We start from the raw sequence: 17,079 nt of genomic DNA, 5'->3' as shown, positions 1-17,079 counted from the left end.
AGCTCCCCACTTCACAATGCCTACCAATCTTTTATGTATCACATGAAGAAAATATTTACCACATACCAAAAGGGGATTGGTTTCCAAACTTAGAATTAAAATACAAGGATTACAGAAAGGACAGAACAGGATGAACTAACACAGTCAGAGACGTCATGAAGGAATCAGCTTTAAAATAGAATAAACAGAGTGAAAAAAGAATGCACTGGGGCAAGAACTATAAACCAGGACTCTAAACTTTTGTTTGGAAATGCTATGAGCTCGTTTAAGTGGAAGAATTCTCTGAAAGATTAACACAGAGTATTTATACACAGTAGAAGCTCAATAAATTTGCACATAGTAGCATTCACTGCAAAGAGGGACAAAGTAAAACCTACCTATCTTGAGGCTCATTTTCAGATGTTTATGAAGACCTGAGCTTGCAAAAAATTTTTAGTATTTGAAAAGTTTATTCTGATTATCCAGTGTCTACTTATTCTTAGGGTGAACACATACCCCAGTTTGCCTGAGACAGACCCAGTTCACTCCTGCTGTCCCCATGTAATTAAGTCCTCTTTTCATTCTCAAAAGTGTCCAGGTTGACTAATAAGTTAGAAGACCACCCTATCCAAATCAGTACTGGTTAAGCATTTGGTGAATAAAATCTCACTGAAAGTATTTCCTGGGGTTCTGTACCTCAGATCAGAAAATTCCTCCTTAAATCTTAAAGGCTTTAAGAAAAATATAGCATAGTTCAAAAGGAGTGCCTATTTCTGAAGGAAAGCCAGAGGTTGATAGCACCTCACAGAAACCATTGTTCTCAGAGAGTTGTGTGGCCGTAATCCTACAGCAGGATAACTAATCAAACACAAAGAGTTGAAATATGCAGAGGCACCACCTTAGGTGAACCTTTCAGTCCATGTGTTAAAAAAGGTTCTCCTTATTCCAGTATATTTAAAGTATGTCATTTCCCAAATGCGTTTAAAAATTAAATTTGATTTATTGCTAATAGTAAATACATACATATTACATATGTGTGTGCAGCACCACTTATCAGCACCATTTCACAGGTGGCAAAGGCGAAGCCTGCAGAGGCTAACAGCACACACAACCTGAATCCACAGCTCCCATCCACAAAGCCTCCTCTACCTTAGAGTAGGGAAGGACTTTTTTTTTTTTTTTTTTTTTTGAGACAGAATCTTGCTCTGTCGCCCAGGCTGGAGTGCAGTGGCACGATCTCAGCTCACTGCAACCTCCACCTCCCAAGTTCAAGCGATTCTCCTGCCTCAGCCTCCCAAGCAGCTGGGACTACAGGCATGCACCACCACACCTGGCTAATTTTTTTGTATTTTTAGTAGAGACGGGGTTTCACCATGTTGATCAGGCTGGACTCTTAAAAAGCCCAAGGATGTTTATTTGTTGAGGCTAGATCTAAAGTGAACAAAGGTAGAAAAGGAAAATCCTCAAGTTCCTCAGGATGCACCACAGCCCTAGAGATTTAGCAGTCATTCAAAAAAACAGCTAAGAATGTGAAAATTCTCATTGTTCTGTTGCAAGGGATACCCTGGAATTTAACCCAGGGCCAGCCTCAGATAGCATTTCATGAATCAGTCTTTTTATTTTATTCTTCAAGAAAATAACAGAAAATTTTCTTCACCTGGTTTATACACAATGACCACATTAGAAAGTACTAAAAATTATTTTGTCAGCAACAAGACAACAAACAGAATTAAAGAAAGTGGGAAGAACTAGTGAAATTATATTAGAAAGCAACAATTGTGAGGGTCAAGAGTACTTGATTATGCCCGAGCTAGTTCCCATCTAGCTTCCAGATCTTTCTAATCCATCTCACAGTGGTCTCATACCATATCGGAACTCCCACTTTGGGCCTGTGGAAGAAAATGAATCCCAGGAGTTTGCCTGTAAATGCCTTGGAGCAACTCAGGGACCCACAGATTGGAATGGTATAGATACTGGGCTTGCACCTTTACTAATCAGGAATATCAAAAATAAATACAGCTTTATGCCAGAAAAATTGAACTTGTGGCCAAAACAAATTGTTTCTTATGTTATCTATTTACAAAATGCCTAAAAGAAGCTAGAGAGGGAAGGTGGGGAAGGAAGCAGCAATATTAATTGCCATTCAAAGGCTGTAGTAGGGAGAGAGAAGGAGGAACTTGGAATATAAAAATTTGTGTGACTCTCATCTAAGCCAAGTGGTCCACATGACACTTGAACAAAAGGTGGTCTAAAATGTAAGCCAGAGGAAAATTGTTGTGAGATATAGCTCCATAAATACCATGTTTACACTGAATTTCAAAAGCATGTTTTCTCCAAAAAATCATCTCTTGAAGATGGTATGAAAGCCCACACAATGCAAATCTTGAAGCTCCTTTCAGTTCTCCATATACGAAATAATACTGATGACAGACAATATTTATTTTTCTCTTCTATGTGCCAGGCATACAGAACAATATTCCTCACAACAGTATTCTGAAGTAGATATTATAATCACTTTTGTACAGATTCTCCTAACGATGAGGGTGCTGAAGCACAGAGAGGTTAAGTAATGTGCCCCATGACACAAAGCTAATGTGTAACTCAGCCGGTATTCTAACTAAGGCAATCTATTCTGGAGACAATGCTCTTAATCATTCAGATATATTGTTTCTCACATAAACAATTTAAAAAAACAGGACTACAGGTCAACAAATGTTTCAACTGTCTAAGAGATTAATACGCAGTGGAAAGGTTCTGAAAATATTTAAACTACAACATGCCAACTGGCATACAGTAAACTGAGAATTACACTGAAGCTGAAGAATAAGTGGTACAGAGAAAGAAACTACATAAATATGCTTTCCAGGCGAGGTCACTTCAAAATCATTCCAAATGGTTCTAGAAAACTTAACAGCTCAAAAATGTCTAAAATCTCTCATAAGCATTTCTTTTTAAAACTACACCATTTCTTGTATCTCAGAAGCAGCTGTATCGTGCTGCTTTTCTGTTGTTTTCAAATCCATGTGCTTCTAATACAGGGTTAAGTATCCTAACTCCTGGCAAATCATACATACTTCATATGTGGACTTGATAAGTGATATTTGATTTGGCAAATGGCAAGAGATTATTTAGCAAATTCAAACACTATTTTCCCCATGACCCATTTAAAAAAAAAAACAACAAAAAAAAAACCTCTGTCATTTCCCACCAAGAAAAAAAAAAAAACAGACTGGATTAATAACCAGTCAGCTGAACTAACAAAGTATTAACAAAATGCTCTGCTTGTATGAGTTTTTGTTCTCCTTACCTAAGAAAAATAAATGTTTCCTGCCTTTACTATTATTTAGCATCTCTTAGATCTTAAAATACGAGAAACTCATCTTTAGTGTAATAAGCTTTTGTCTTTCCTGTAGGACAGCAGTCTGTTGTGATTTCTGGCAATGGAGAGGTACTTTAGGACCACATGTTTTGCCTACATTAGGAAAAAAATAGCAAAACCCTAATTTCTGTGGTTGACAAGAGGGAAGAAAGATGGAGCCATCCTCATTCACACTCCCTGTGGAGACAGGGTGGGACTGGCAATGGGGACCAAGGGAAAGACCACCAGCTCTGGTTGATCCTGGATGTGTCTCCATCCCTTCCTTACTGAGACCACAGAGTAAAGCACAGATGAGAATATCTCCTATTACCTTAGGCATGTTGAGGCAAAAATGTAAAGCTCCGAGAAGCACTCCATCATGTGTGCCCCATCCGTAATAGTTTGAGTTTACCAGGGTACTGCATATGAGATCTTATTTCCTCTTGTATTAGATTTATAATTTGAAAATACTTTCCATGAGTTATGTATTGCTATGTATCTAAAAGAGCCTTCCTATAACCACAGTGGCTGGGTCAAAGACCTACTCAAATTTGGCTCTTTCCATAACAATTAATATTCATTAAAAACACAAAGCATAGCACTGTATTTCTATCTAGCATATGTTGAACCATGCAGTTTTGAAAGCATTGTAAAGGAACAATTAGCCTGTCATAGTAAAAAGAGACCCTACCATTTACTGACCTTAGAGCTAGGCATTATAGTAAGAAAATACACCTTACGTGATTTAAACTTTCCAACAACTTTAATAGTGCAGGTAGTACTAGACTCTTTTTGCAGATGGGGAAACAGATTGAGAGAGATTACATTACCAGCCTGAGGTCTCCTGGTTTATACAAGGCAGTGCTGCTGGCTTGTATATCCAAATTTAACTCCATATGCCACGTTATGTAGCATTAACTGCAAAGAATCACAATTAATCTAATCCTGACTTTGTCTCTATGCTGGAGTAAACAAGTTCGCTGTATTTTTTCTTCATTTGTCCTGGATAAAACACTAGCTTAAGATGGCCAAAGGTTTCATCTCAGGGGCCAGTTTTGACAAGACTTTCTAAGCTCCACTATAGAAGGGAAGCTGCAGGAAAAATCGCGTGTGTTCAGTTAGAGATGTCTGAAAAGGCCCATAGCAGCACAGACCCTCCTCCCCAGCCATGGCAGAACCAAAGTTGGTGGGCATTTATACCCAAACCGCCTGCCCGCACCCCCAGCCCCCTCCCCCTGGCCTTTTCTGCTGAGCAATTTAACTGCCGTGGACTTTCCGTCTACTCTACTGGATGCTCATTATCTAGAAACTCCCTCCCCCAACTTTTGAACTATGGCAAAAGCTAAGGTAGATATTTAAGTCACACTGCATGTCACACATGAAGGGTACCCATTAGTATAAATCCCAAAACAGCATTTTTACAAACAAATGGAAGTCACTGTATCCCTCTCACATCCCCTGTTATATGGCTGATAGTTCTATCCTCAGATTGCTCCTTCTTACATGAAATTGGTCTCCCAACAGCTTCATCAATTCCATAAGTCAATCTTCAGCCTGCCTATTTGTGACTCGAAAGTTCCTATCTTTTAAGCGCTTCTCTACATTTTTAAATGAATACAAGCAAAGGCCTCGCTTATTATGAGTATAATACTATATTTATATTGTTAAGTATAATATAAAGTTTCTGGGAAAACTACAAAAAAAAGAGCAGCAAGGCAAAGTATCAGAATCTGACTCAGACTTTTGGTAGCAGACAAGTCTCAACTATTCCGACAAGAATGAAAAACACAGTTTTGGAAGTGTGTATATATATCATGTATGTGACATTTATAAGACAGCAATAATTGCAACCTGCCAAAAGCAAAAGGCCTAAAACTGGTAAGCTAGAGGTCTCTCCGGTGAAATGTAACACAAAGTTATTAATAACAAGCACATTTGTCAACACGAATCTCCTCTGCCTGTTGAGTTGTAATGCTAAGAAGCATCTATGCTGCGAAAGTTTTATCATATGCATAAACATGCACTTGGACTTCACATTTCTCTCTAAATGCAGCTGTTCACAAAAGTACTTTTAAGCTTACACATACACGTATAGCTAAGAACTAGATTAAATAAGGTTTGGTTCAAATTATAATATTGAAATAATAACAGCTAACATTTATATAGCATGTTTACATATCTCAACTAATTATAAATGGGAAAATGGGCAAATGGGCAGGCAGAACCCAGAGGGAAGCCTGCCCTCATTAGACCAAGACAGCAAGGTTTCCCCTGGTCACTAGATGAAATTAGGGAGTTGCAATCCTTCAAACGTAAATGTTAAGCCTCTGCTATAAATAATACTCATATAGCTCTAGTTACGTGAATGAAAGATGCTGATTTATCCAAAAATTGTGGACATAATTATCTGGTAAAGGGAAACGTGCACAGTGAGCTAAATCCTCATCTTCCACACAAGGAAGTCAACAGACACTATCAAAAGCCAAGAACCTCCAGTTACATAAGAAATACAGGCACTAATACCTAAAAATAGATAAAAGGAAAAAGAGGTGGCTACCAGGGCATAAGAAAAGGGTATGGACTTCTATTTTTTTCATTATATGTTTTTTTAAATTGTTTCTTAAAGTACACAAATGCATAACTTTGATAAATCTTAAAAGTTTAAATTAACAAAAAAAAAAAACAAGAAAAAATCAAAACAAAAAGAAGGTATATCAAATGTATCCATTCCTTGGACTAGAAGAAGAAAAAAAAAGTAGTGGAGGTCCTCACTGATTAAATTAAATCACCTTCTTGGATATGAAAGACCTTTTTCAGTGGAGCTAAGTCTTAGGAGTCAGGTGTCCATGGATTGCTCTCAGCAAAAGGACAATGTTTCAAGCCCAGAAAGTAATCCTGGACAGCCTGGCAATATGGATGAGAGAGGCTGCAAAAAAGTCACCTGCCCCACCCCATTCCCCAGACAAGCCAAATGACTCCATGAATGAGACTGGGGCAACATCAGCAAAATACCCACCCACCCCCTCACAAAAAAAGAAAAAATCAGAAGACACAGCCATCACCATCTGTGATACAGTACAAAGCCTGAGGGGTGGCCTAAGTAGAATTAAATTAAGCACTATAGGAATTCAGAGAGAGGAAAACCATTCATTCTCAGTAAGAACATAAAGGAAAGCTCCACTAAAGTTGAAATTTAAGAGGGCCCATGCCAGGCTTAGGAAACGGCCCAACAAAGGCCAGAGGAGGGAGAACAGAAGGTGTGTTTGGAAATGAACATGATCTAAGCCATATTAAAATGTGTATCTTATGCTGCTGTTGCTCCACTCTAAACTGGAGTGAGGGGTAAGAGCGGAAGGCCCCTGGGACAGTCAATGGTTTCCGGCACAGTGCAAAACTTGAGTGCAGTATACGTGCCTCTCAATTAACTCATTTATAGGAATATACTCTCCATATTTGTTGGCTTTTCTCGGAACAGGCTCTTAAATCTCAGACACTGACATTTATATCACTATACAGGGTGCCTGTCATGACCCCAGATCTCCAGAAGTCCTTAGCTGCATGCTAGTGGATTCTGTTAATACATTTTCCTTACAATTTCCCAAGAGTGTTGAACTCAAAAGACAGGGACTTTAGTTTAAGGCAACATAATTTCTCCCTTTAGCTCACGACATGTAATATTTATTTTAAGGGCAAGTTCCCTTAAAATAAATATTCTCCTAAATGTATACACATTCCCTATGTCATTTTAATGTAGTACATGCTCCTTTTAACACTACAGTCATTGCTTTAAATCAATAAAATTGGACTAGGTTTGATCCACACAACCCCAAATACCAGTTTTGGTTAAAATACACACATTTTACTCAAGGTTTTCTAGATAAGTTCTAGAACTTATCTAGTTAGTAGATAAGTTAGTAGATTACATATGAACAAACCTACTCCTGCATAGCAAACTGAATATGTACAAAAGACAGTCTATTTGCATGCATCATAAGCCTTCAAAAATAAAAATGAACATATTAACTTTTACTTTTTTACTTTCACTCTGGCCTTTATGAACATGTTTAGAAGTATCATTTACGAAACACAAGTATAAGTAAAACTTGAAAGAGAAAATTAAGGAAGCAACACATCTTTACTTTTATATTCCTTTAATTAAATGAATAAAAATGTCAGGTGCCAAAGATGCAAAATTAAGACACTGCCCTGGCTCTCAACAGCTCACCCAATCTAGTTGGGAGAAACAACTGGCAGACAATTAAAAATCAGTATTTATGCCAGAAGTTGCAATTATTTTCTATGAAAAATCAGATCTTAGCGATGACCATGAGCAATAGGATATGAATAACTCCCATGAGCTTAGTGTCCCAATAATGGAACACAAGGTATAAACAAGTTAAGCACTACTCCTGGTTGTACCTCCCACAGTATTTAATACAGAAGGTTACTAATAAATTATTAGTTGGGTGACTGGATAAACAGATGGATAGAAAGATGAATGAATGGAGATATTAATAGTACTTTTTGGTAACACAGGAAGGTGAGTTTATCCTGCATAGGGAGGGAGGGGATGGGTGGTCCAGGAATAACCTCCCATAGGAAAGGGTGGGCCAACTGCATCTGAAAGTAGTATGTTTCCACAGGGATAAACACACAGGTTAAATAGAACTCAGACAAATTACACAGTTATGTAATAATTTCAAGGTATGTTAAAAGAATCAAAATCTGTGACTTCAAAGCTATTTTTACTTAGGATGAGGGTAAACATTTAATTTTTAAGGTGATTCCATGTACATAAATATCAGATATAAACAGATCAGGTGGCATGTGGATATAATAAAGACTGAGAAGCAAGTACACAAATAGCTGAAATTTTTTAAAATGCAATTCAAATTCAGAATAAGCCAGGTGAAAGAAGAGAAATTATTCCAGAGAGCTGTTCTAGGCAGAGGAAAGATCTTAAGCCCAAGCAATGGGGCAAGAACCACAGATATTCACAGAGAGTTCAAACAATTGAGTGTTGCTGTGATATACAGACCAAGGCAAATAGTGGTGGAAGAAGAGGTGTCAAATCACAGAGCACTCTACTGAATTAAACACCATGAACTTATCTTTTAAGTATTAGAGACCCACAAAAGGGACACAGTGCTGCTTGTATTTTAGAGGGATTCCTCTCACGGGTGAGTGGAGGACACACCCTGTGGGTGGGAGGCAGATTGAAGGCAGGGAACACAGACAAAAAATGACCTGAGGTTTGGTGGGAATAACAGTCAAGAAATATTTAAGCATAAAAAAAAAAATCACCAGGCTTTGGAGATTGACTGGCTAGGAATGGATGAGACAGAGTGTTTAATTGTTGACAGCTTGGGTAATGGGTAGATGGTATTATCACAAATTGAGAGAGACACATTGAGTAGGAAGAACCCAAGAAGCATCTGGGTAGAAAGGTGCAAGGAACAACAGTGTACAGAGGTGCAAGGTGGTGAGAGATGCTGGCAGAGATGTCACAAGTGCTAACAGGGCAGGGCAAGGGCAGAGAAAGGCAAAAGCATGGGGCTCAGGATGGAATCCATAAAACATCAACATTTGAGGGCAAGCCCTTAATCATGGAGGGAACAGTGTCAGAAAGGTACAAGGGCAGTATGCCAAAGTACCACAGAGAGAATCATCATCAAAAGCTGCCTTAATGCCTCATACCCATTAAGATGGCTACTACTAGAAAGAAAGAACAAACACAACACACAAATGGAAAACAAGTGTTAGCAAGGATGTGGGGAAAGTGACACCTTTGTGCACTGTTGGTGGGAACGTAAGATGGTTCATTCAGCCTCTATGGAAAACAGCAATTCCTTTAGAAAATTAACATAGGATTACCACATGATCCAGCAATTTTGCTTCTGGGCACATAACCAAAAGAACTGAAAGTAGGGTCTTAAGCAGATATTTGTATACCCACTTTCATAGCAGCATTGTTCACAATAGCCAAAAGGTGGATGCTACCCAAGGACTATGGACAGATGAATAAACAAAATGTGGTATATACATAGAGCGGAATATTATTCAGTCTTAAAAAGAAATGAATTGTCACATGCTACAAAATGCATGAACCTTAAAGACATTATGCTAAGTGAATTAAGCCAGTCAAAAAAGGACAAATACTGTATGATTCCACTTCTATGAGATAGCTAGAGTATTCAACTTCGTAGAGAAGAACAGTAGTTACCAGGGACTAGGGGCAAGGATAAATGGAGAATTATTATTTAATGGGTACAGAATTTTAGTTTTGCAAGATGAAAACAGTTCTAGAGATGCATGGTGATGATGGTTACACAACAATGTGAATGTAATTAACGTCACTGAACACTTAAAAATAGTTAAGGTGGCAAATGTTATGTGTATTTCACCACAATCCCAAAAAAGCTACCTCAAAGACAAAAAAAATCTTTCAAAATGTCAATTGGATTGAGGAATGTGCAATGAGGAGGTCTTTGGCAGTTCTAGATAAGTGCTGAGGACAGAAGGCAGAGTGGACTAGATTACAGAGTGAATGGGAAAGTGGAGACAGCAAACGCAGACCATTTCCAACAAGTTTGGATAAGGAGATAAAGGTACCGACTGGATGATTGCTAATAAAGAGGATTCACATTTAAGGGAGAGCTTTGAGGGTTTTCGCTTTATTTTATTTGATAATGATAACAGGCATGATTGATCGTGAGCATGCCTCTCTAGGACAGAAGGAAAGAAACTGGTAAAATGGGAAAAGTTGATGCTATAGGCCCTAAACTGGATGAATTCAAGTAGACGGAGTATAGGAGACTCAGGCCTTTCCTTCTGAAAGATGTATTATGACTGTATTAATCCAGAGCATAATTTCAGAAATCCCCAGGAAGAACTTGTTAAAGAAGGAAATATCCAGGCATTGGGATCAAGTAACAACCCAGGACAGAAACAGAATGTTGTGAAACCAGATTTAAGTCAAGGAGTAATACGAAGAATGATTGGAGACCCAAAAGCCCCCATTCAAGGCTGGAAATGTGTCAGGATAACAGATGGAGTAGAAGAGGTACTGGCATGCATCAAGTCCATCCCTAGACCAGGATAAGTCTAGAGGAGCAAATCCCCCAAGTCCCAGAGGAGATAGCATAGTCTTGGGGTCCTTTCAATATCTCTTCTCATTTGACAGTTATCTTGCCCTGCACCAATCAAGACCCCCAAGTTAACACCTACTTAAACAGCTTTCCTGCCTCCTCCCCTGGTACTGAAAGAAGGAAACGTGCAGATGTTTTACTCTCAAATATTTTTTGGTTTTCCAACTAATTTCAAGGAATTAGTTTGAAACCATGTGAATTACAACTTAAAAATACTTCCCAATAAATACAGAAGCTATTATTACAACAGCTTCACAGGAAAAGGTCATAAACAAGCATGGGAAAGATCTATCTTCCTGCTGGCTGGAGCTCTCACTTGCTCAGTCTCCCTTTTCACAGCTGGTTTCATACTATTTACTATTTGGTCAAGCCGTGCTAATCTGTAACCCTAAGCAAATCCAAATCAGGTCCAACTTATGCAAGCATATATTAGAGCTGGGCTCCAAAGAATACTGGACATCTGTAGTACCTGACATTCAAGCATTTGGCGAGATGTCAATATTTCAGAGAGCACTTTAAATGTTTTGATTTGAAAGCTAATGCAGTGTTTCCCACTGGTCAACACGAGCAGTCCAGCAGAGAGCAAAATCTATTTCCCTCAACATCAAATGCTACACTCAGTTGCTGATCCTATCTTGCCTACAGAGAACCTAAAAGACTGGAAAAATTGGTAAGTAAGAAAATTCCATCTAATGCAGAGTACAGTTAAATAATATTTGTGATTACAATGTAAAATGGCTTTGTGTGGTGCTGACATCCTAAATTTTTTTTTAATGGATGGAGTCACAGAGTTATAGGCTATGCAAGACTTTTCCAAATTCAAGTAATAAACCAAGTCTAGTTAAATTTTCCTTGTAAGTATCCTTTTTTAATTTGATAAGGCATGATTTCCTTTCATGGGGCTTGTACATTAGGCATTAGGAAATTCCTATTTTAAAAATACTTATTATCCAGACAGTCGGATGGGTATGTGGGTAGTGACAAAATTAGTATTTGGTATGATAAAGTGGACCAGTACAGCTGGGTTATGATATATATAATCTCAGGGCAAAGACAGTCCAATAAAGAACGAATATACTGAAGAAAGAAAACAAAAACCAGACAGTTTGGTTTAAAAGCACAAAATGCTAAAACTCTACAAATAATGAAACCAAAGGTGAAATACTTCATGCAAGGCAGCTGTGATGTCTTCTCTAAAATATTAAATGCATGGGTCACTGGTATGGATTTAATGGTGAGTCACAATTTATTTTCAAAGGAAAGAAATAGGAATTAAATAGGTCTCATAGTTGCTGTTTTATTTTTTATTAGTGTCTTAGGTTTTAATTTTCCTTTCCTTGGTTCTTCTGATTGCTTCCTCTGAGCGTTAAACATTTAAATAACAAACATTCATAGCATTTTTTGTTTTAACTTGTGGATGGCAAGGACAAGGAATATTATTGTGTAGTTTTTCTATAAATTATGTAGTAATTTCCAAAAATCTAGACTAATAGATAATTTAGAAACTTAATATACATGCTTAGAATCTACTCCAGATTATTTCTCAGGCAAAAAAAAAAAAAAAAAAAAAAAGAAGAAGAAGAAGAAAGAAAGTAAACAAAAGAAAATCTTTTTAAAAGGAGCCCTGTCTTCTGAATACATTATAAGAACACTGCAACTAAGGGAAGGCAGAGCTTTTTTAAAAACTGTGACTCTTGTCAACAAATGACTCTCTAAATGGAGAAAATGCAACTTCTTAAGTCCTAATTCATTTTTTTTTTGCTTTTTTTTTTTATTATACATTAAGTTTTAGGGTACATGTGCACATTGTGCAGGTTAGTTACATATGTATACATGTGCCATGCTGGTGCACTGCACCCACTAACTCGTCATCTAGCATTAGGTACATCTCCCAATGCTATCCCTCCCCCCTCCCCGACCCCACAACAGTCCCCGGAGTGTGATATTCCCCTTCCTGTGTCCATGTGATCTCATTGTTCAATTCCCACCTATGAGTGAGAATATGCAGTGTTTGGTTTTTTGTTCTTGCGATAGTTTACTGAGAATGATGATTTCCAATTTCATCCATGTCCCTACAAAGGACATGAACTCATCATTTTTATGGCTGCATAGTATTCCATGGTGTACATGTGCCACATTTTCTTAATCCAGTCTATCATTGTTGGACATTTGGCTTGGTTCCAAGTCTTTGCTATTGTGAATAATGCCACAATAAACATACGTGTGCATGTGTCTTTATAGCAGCATGATTTATAATCCTTTGGGTATATACCCAGTAATGGGATGGCTGGGTCAAATGGTATTTCCAGTTCTAGATCCCTGAGGAATCGCCACACTGACTTCCACAATGGTTGAACTAGTTTACAGTCCCACCAACAGTGTAAAAGTGTTCCTATTTCTCCACATCCTCTCCAGCACCTGTTGTTTCCTGACTTTTTAATTATTGCCAATCTAACTGGTGTGAGATGGTATCTTCTTGTGGTTTTGGTTTGCATTTCTCTGATGCCAGTGAGGATTTTTTCATGTGTTTTTTGGCTGCATAAATGTCTTCTTTTGAGAAGTGTCTGTTCGTGTCCTTTGCCCACTTTTTGATGGGGTTGTTTGTTTTTTTCTTGTAAATTTGTTTCAGTTCATTGTAGATTCTGGACATTACCCTTTGTCAGATGAGTAGGTTGCGAAAAGTTTCTCCCATTTTGTAGGCTGCCTGTTCACTCTGATGGTAGTATCTTTTGCTGTGCAGAAGCTCTTTAGTTTAATTAGATCCCATTTGTCAATTTTGGCTTTTGTGGCCATTGCTTTTGGTGTTTTAGACATGAAGTCCTTCCCATGCCTATGTCCTGAATGGTAATGCCTAGGTTTTCTTCTAGGGTTTTTATGGTTGTAGGTCTAACGTTTAAGTCTTTAATCCATCTTGAATTGATTTTTGTATAAGGTGTAAGAAAGGGATCCAGTTTCAGCTTTCTACATATGGCTAGCCAGTTTTCCCAGCACCATTTATTAAATAGGGAATCCTTTCCCCATTGCTTGTTTTTCTCAGGTTTGTCAAAGATCAGAGAGTTGTAGATATGCGGCGTTATTTCTGAGGGCTCTGTTCTGTTCCATTGATCTATATCTCTGTTTTGGTACCAGTACCATGCTGTTTTGGTTACTGTAGCCTTGTAGTATAGTTTGAAGTCAGGTAGCGTGATGCCTCCAGCTTTGTTCTTTTGGCTTAGGATTGACTTGGCGATACGGGCTCTTTTTTGGTTCCATATGAACTTTAAAGTAGTTTTTTCCAATTCTGTGAAGAAAGGCATTGGTAGCTTGATGGGGATGGCATTGAATCTATAAATTACCTTGAGCAGTATGGCCATTTTCACGATATTTATTCTTCCTACCCATGAGCATGGAATGTTCTTCCATTTGTTTGTATCCTCTTTTATTTCCTTGAGCAGTGGTTTGTAGTTCTCCTTGAAGAGTTCCTTCACATCCCTTGTAAGTTGGATTCCTAGGTATTTTATTCTCTTTGAAGCAATTGTGAATGGGAGTTCACTCATGATTTGGCTCTCTGTTTGTCTGTTGCTGGTGTATAAGAATGCTTGTGATTTTTGTACATTGATTTTGTATCCTGAGACTTTGCTGAAGTTGCTTATCAGCTTAAGGAGATTTTGGGCTGAAACGATGGGGTTTTCTAGATATACAATCATGTCGTCTGCAAACAGGGACAATTTGACTTCCTCTTTTCCTAATTGAATACCCTTTATTTCCTTCTCCTGCCTAATTGCCCTGGCCAGAACTTCCAACACTATGTTGAATAGGAGTGGTGAGAGAGGGCATCCCTGTCTTGTGCCAGTTTTCAAAGGGAATGCTTCCAGTTTTTGCCCATTCAGTATGATATTGGCTGTGGGTTTGTCATAGATAGCTCTTATTATTTTGAAATACATCCCATCAATACCTAATTTATTGAGAGTTTTCAGCATGAAGGGTTGTTGAATTTTGTCAAAGGCCTTTTCTGCATCTATTGAGATAATCATGTGGTTTTTGTCTTTGGCTCTGTTTATATGCTGGATTACATTTATTGATTTGTGTATATTGAACCAGCCTTGCATCCCAGGGATGAAGCCCACTTGATCATGGTGGATAAGCTTTTTGATGTGCTGCTGGATTCAGTTTGCCAGTATTTTATTGAGGATTTTTGCATCAATGTTCATCAAGGATATTGGTCTAAAATTCTCTTTGTTGGTTGTGTCTCTGCCCAGCTTTGGTATCAGAATGATGCTGGCCTCATAAAATGAGTTAGGGAGGATTCCCTCTTTTTCTATTGATTGGAGTAGTTTCAGAAGGAATGGTACCAGTTCCTCCTTATACCTCTGGTAGAATTCAGCTGTGAATCCATCTGGTCCTGGACTCTTTTTGGTTGCTAAGCTATTGGTTATTGCCACAATTTCAGATGCTGTTATTGGTCTATTCAGAGATTCAACTTCTTCCTGGTTTAGTCTTGGGAGAGTGTATGTGTCAAGGAATTTATCCATTTCTTCTAGATTTTCTAGTTTATTTGCGTAGAGGTGTTTGTAGTATTATCTGATGGTAGTTTGTATTTCTGTGGGATCAGTGGTGATATCCCCTTTATCATTTTTTATTGGGTCTATTAGATTCTTCTCTCTTTTTTTCTTTATTAGTCTTGCTAGCGGTCTATCAATTTTGTTGATCCTTTCAAAAAAACCAGCTCCTGGATTCATTAATTTTTTGAAGGGTTTTTTGTGACTCTATTTCCTTGAGTTCTGCTCCGATTTTAGTTATTTCTTGCCTTCTGCTAGCTTTTGAATGTGTTTGCTCTTGCTTTTCTAGTTCTTTTAATTGTGATGTTAGGGTGTCAATTTTGGATCTTTCCTGCTTTCTCTTGTGGGCATTTAGTGCTATAAATTTCCCTCTACACACTGCTTTGAATGCGTCCCAGAGATTCTGGTATGTTGTGTCTTTGTTCTCACTGGTTTCAAAGAACATCTTTATTTCTGCCTTCATTTCGTTATGTACCCAGTAGTCATTCAGGAGCAGGTTGTTCAGTTTCCATGTAGTTGAGTGGTTTTGAGTGAGATTCTTAATCCTGAGTTCTAGTTTGATTGCACTGTGGTCTGAGAGATAGTTTGTTATAATTTCTGTTCTTTTACATTTGCTGAGGAGATCTTTACATCCAAGTATGTGGTCAATTTTGGAATAGGTGTGGTGTGGTGCTGAAAAAAATGTATATTCTGTTGATTTGGGGTGGAGAGTTCTGTAGATGTCTATTAGGTCCGCTTGGTGCAGAGCTGAGTTCAATTCCTGGGTATCCTTGTTGACTTTCTGTCTCGTTGATCTGTCTAATGTTGACAGTGGGATGTTAAAGTCTCCCATTATTAATGTGTGGGAGTCTAAGTCTCTTTGTAGGTCACTCAGGACTTGCTTTATGAATCTTGGTGCTCCTGTATTGGGTGCATATATATTTGGGAGAGTTAGCTCTTCTTGTTGAATTGATCCCTTTACCATTATGTAATGGCCTTCTTTGTCTCTTTTGATCTTTGTTGGTTTAAAGTCTGTTTTATCAGAGACTAGTATTGCAACCCCTGCCTTTTTTTGTTTTCCATTTGCTTGGTAGATCTTCCTCCATCCTTTTATTTTGAGCCTATGTGTGTCTCTGCACGTGAGATGGGTTTCCTGAATACAGCACACTGATGGGTCTTGACTCTTTATCCAATTTGCCAGTCTGTGTCGTTTAATTGGAGCATTTAGTCCATTTACATTTAAAGTTAATATTGTTATGTGTGAATTTGATCCTGTCATGATGATGTTAGCTGGTTATTTTGCTCGTTAGTTGATGCAGTTTCTTCCTAGTCTTGATGGTCTTTACATTTTGGCATGATTTTGCAGCGGCTGGTACCAGTTGTTCCTTTCCATGTTTAGCGCTTCCTTCAGGAGCTCTTTTAGGGCAGGCCTGGTGGTGACAAAATCTCTCAGTATTTGCTTGTCTGTAAAGTATTTTATTTCTCCTTCGCTTATGAAGCTTAGTTTCGCTGGATATGAAATTCCAGGTTGAAAATTCTTGTCTTTAAGAATGTTGAATATTGGCCCCCACTCTCTTCTGGCTTGTAGGGTTTCTGCCGAGAGATCCGCTGTTAGTCTGATGGGCTTCCCTTTGAGGGTAACCCGACCTTTCTCTCTGGCTGCCCTTAACATTTTTTCCTTCATTTCAACTTTGGTGAATCTGACAATTATGTGTCTTGGAGTTGCTCTTCTCGAGGAGTATCTTTGTGGCGTTCTCTGTACTTCCTGAATCTGAACGTTGGCCTGCCTTGCTAGATTGGGGAAGTTCTCCTGGATAATATCCTGCAGAGTGTTTTCCAACTTGGTTCCATTCTCCCCATCACTTTCAGGTACACCAAGCAGACATAGATTTGGTCTTTTCACACAGCCCCATATTTCTTGGAGGCTTTGCTCATTTCTTTTTATTCTTTTTTCTCTAAACTTCCCTTCTCGCTTCATTTCATTCATTTCATCTTCCATCGCTGATACCCTTTCTTCCAGTTGATCGCATGGGCTCCTGAGGCTTCTGCATTCTTCACGTAGTTCTCGAGCCTTGGT

At 38.3% G+C, this 17,079-nt stretch overlaps 2 protein-coding genes across 30 annotated transcripts in view; one reads left to right on the top strand and one right to left on the bottom strand.

The window, feature by feature from the left end:
• The window catches only part of MED12L (mediator complex subunit 12L), a 350,990-nt gene that overhangs the window by 176,634 nt on the left and 157,277 nt on the right, over positions 1-17,079 (bottom strand). The window lies entirely within an intron of this gene.
• Positions 1-17,079, top strand: part of P2RY14 (purinergic receptor P2Y14) — a 66,426-nt gene that overhangs the window by 18,523 nt on the left and 30,824 nt on the right. For 2 of the 6 annotated variants that reach the window (XM_005247923.4, NM_001081455.2), the window contains exon 1: positions 11,029-11,155. The exons of the other annotated variants lie outside the window; for them this stretch is intronic. The gene's annotated coding sequence lies outside the window, so the exon portion shown is untranslated. Of the gene's footprint in view, positions 1-11,028; positions 11,156-17,079 lie in introns of those variants that run through there. 6 annotated transcript variants of the gene reach the window in all.

The sequence above is a fragment of the Homo sapiens genome, chromosome 3, assembly GCF_000001405.40.
Source record: "Homo sapiens chromosome 3, GRCh38.p14 Primary Assembly".
Lineage (NCBI taxonomy): Eukaryota > Metazoa > Chordata > Mammalia > Primates > Hominidae > Homo > Homo sapiens.
Note: the sequence above shows the minus strand (reverse complement) of the source record. Positions and strands in the feature narration are given on the sequence as shown.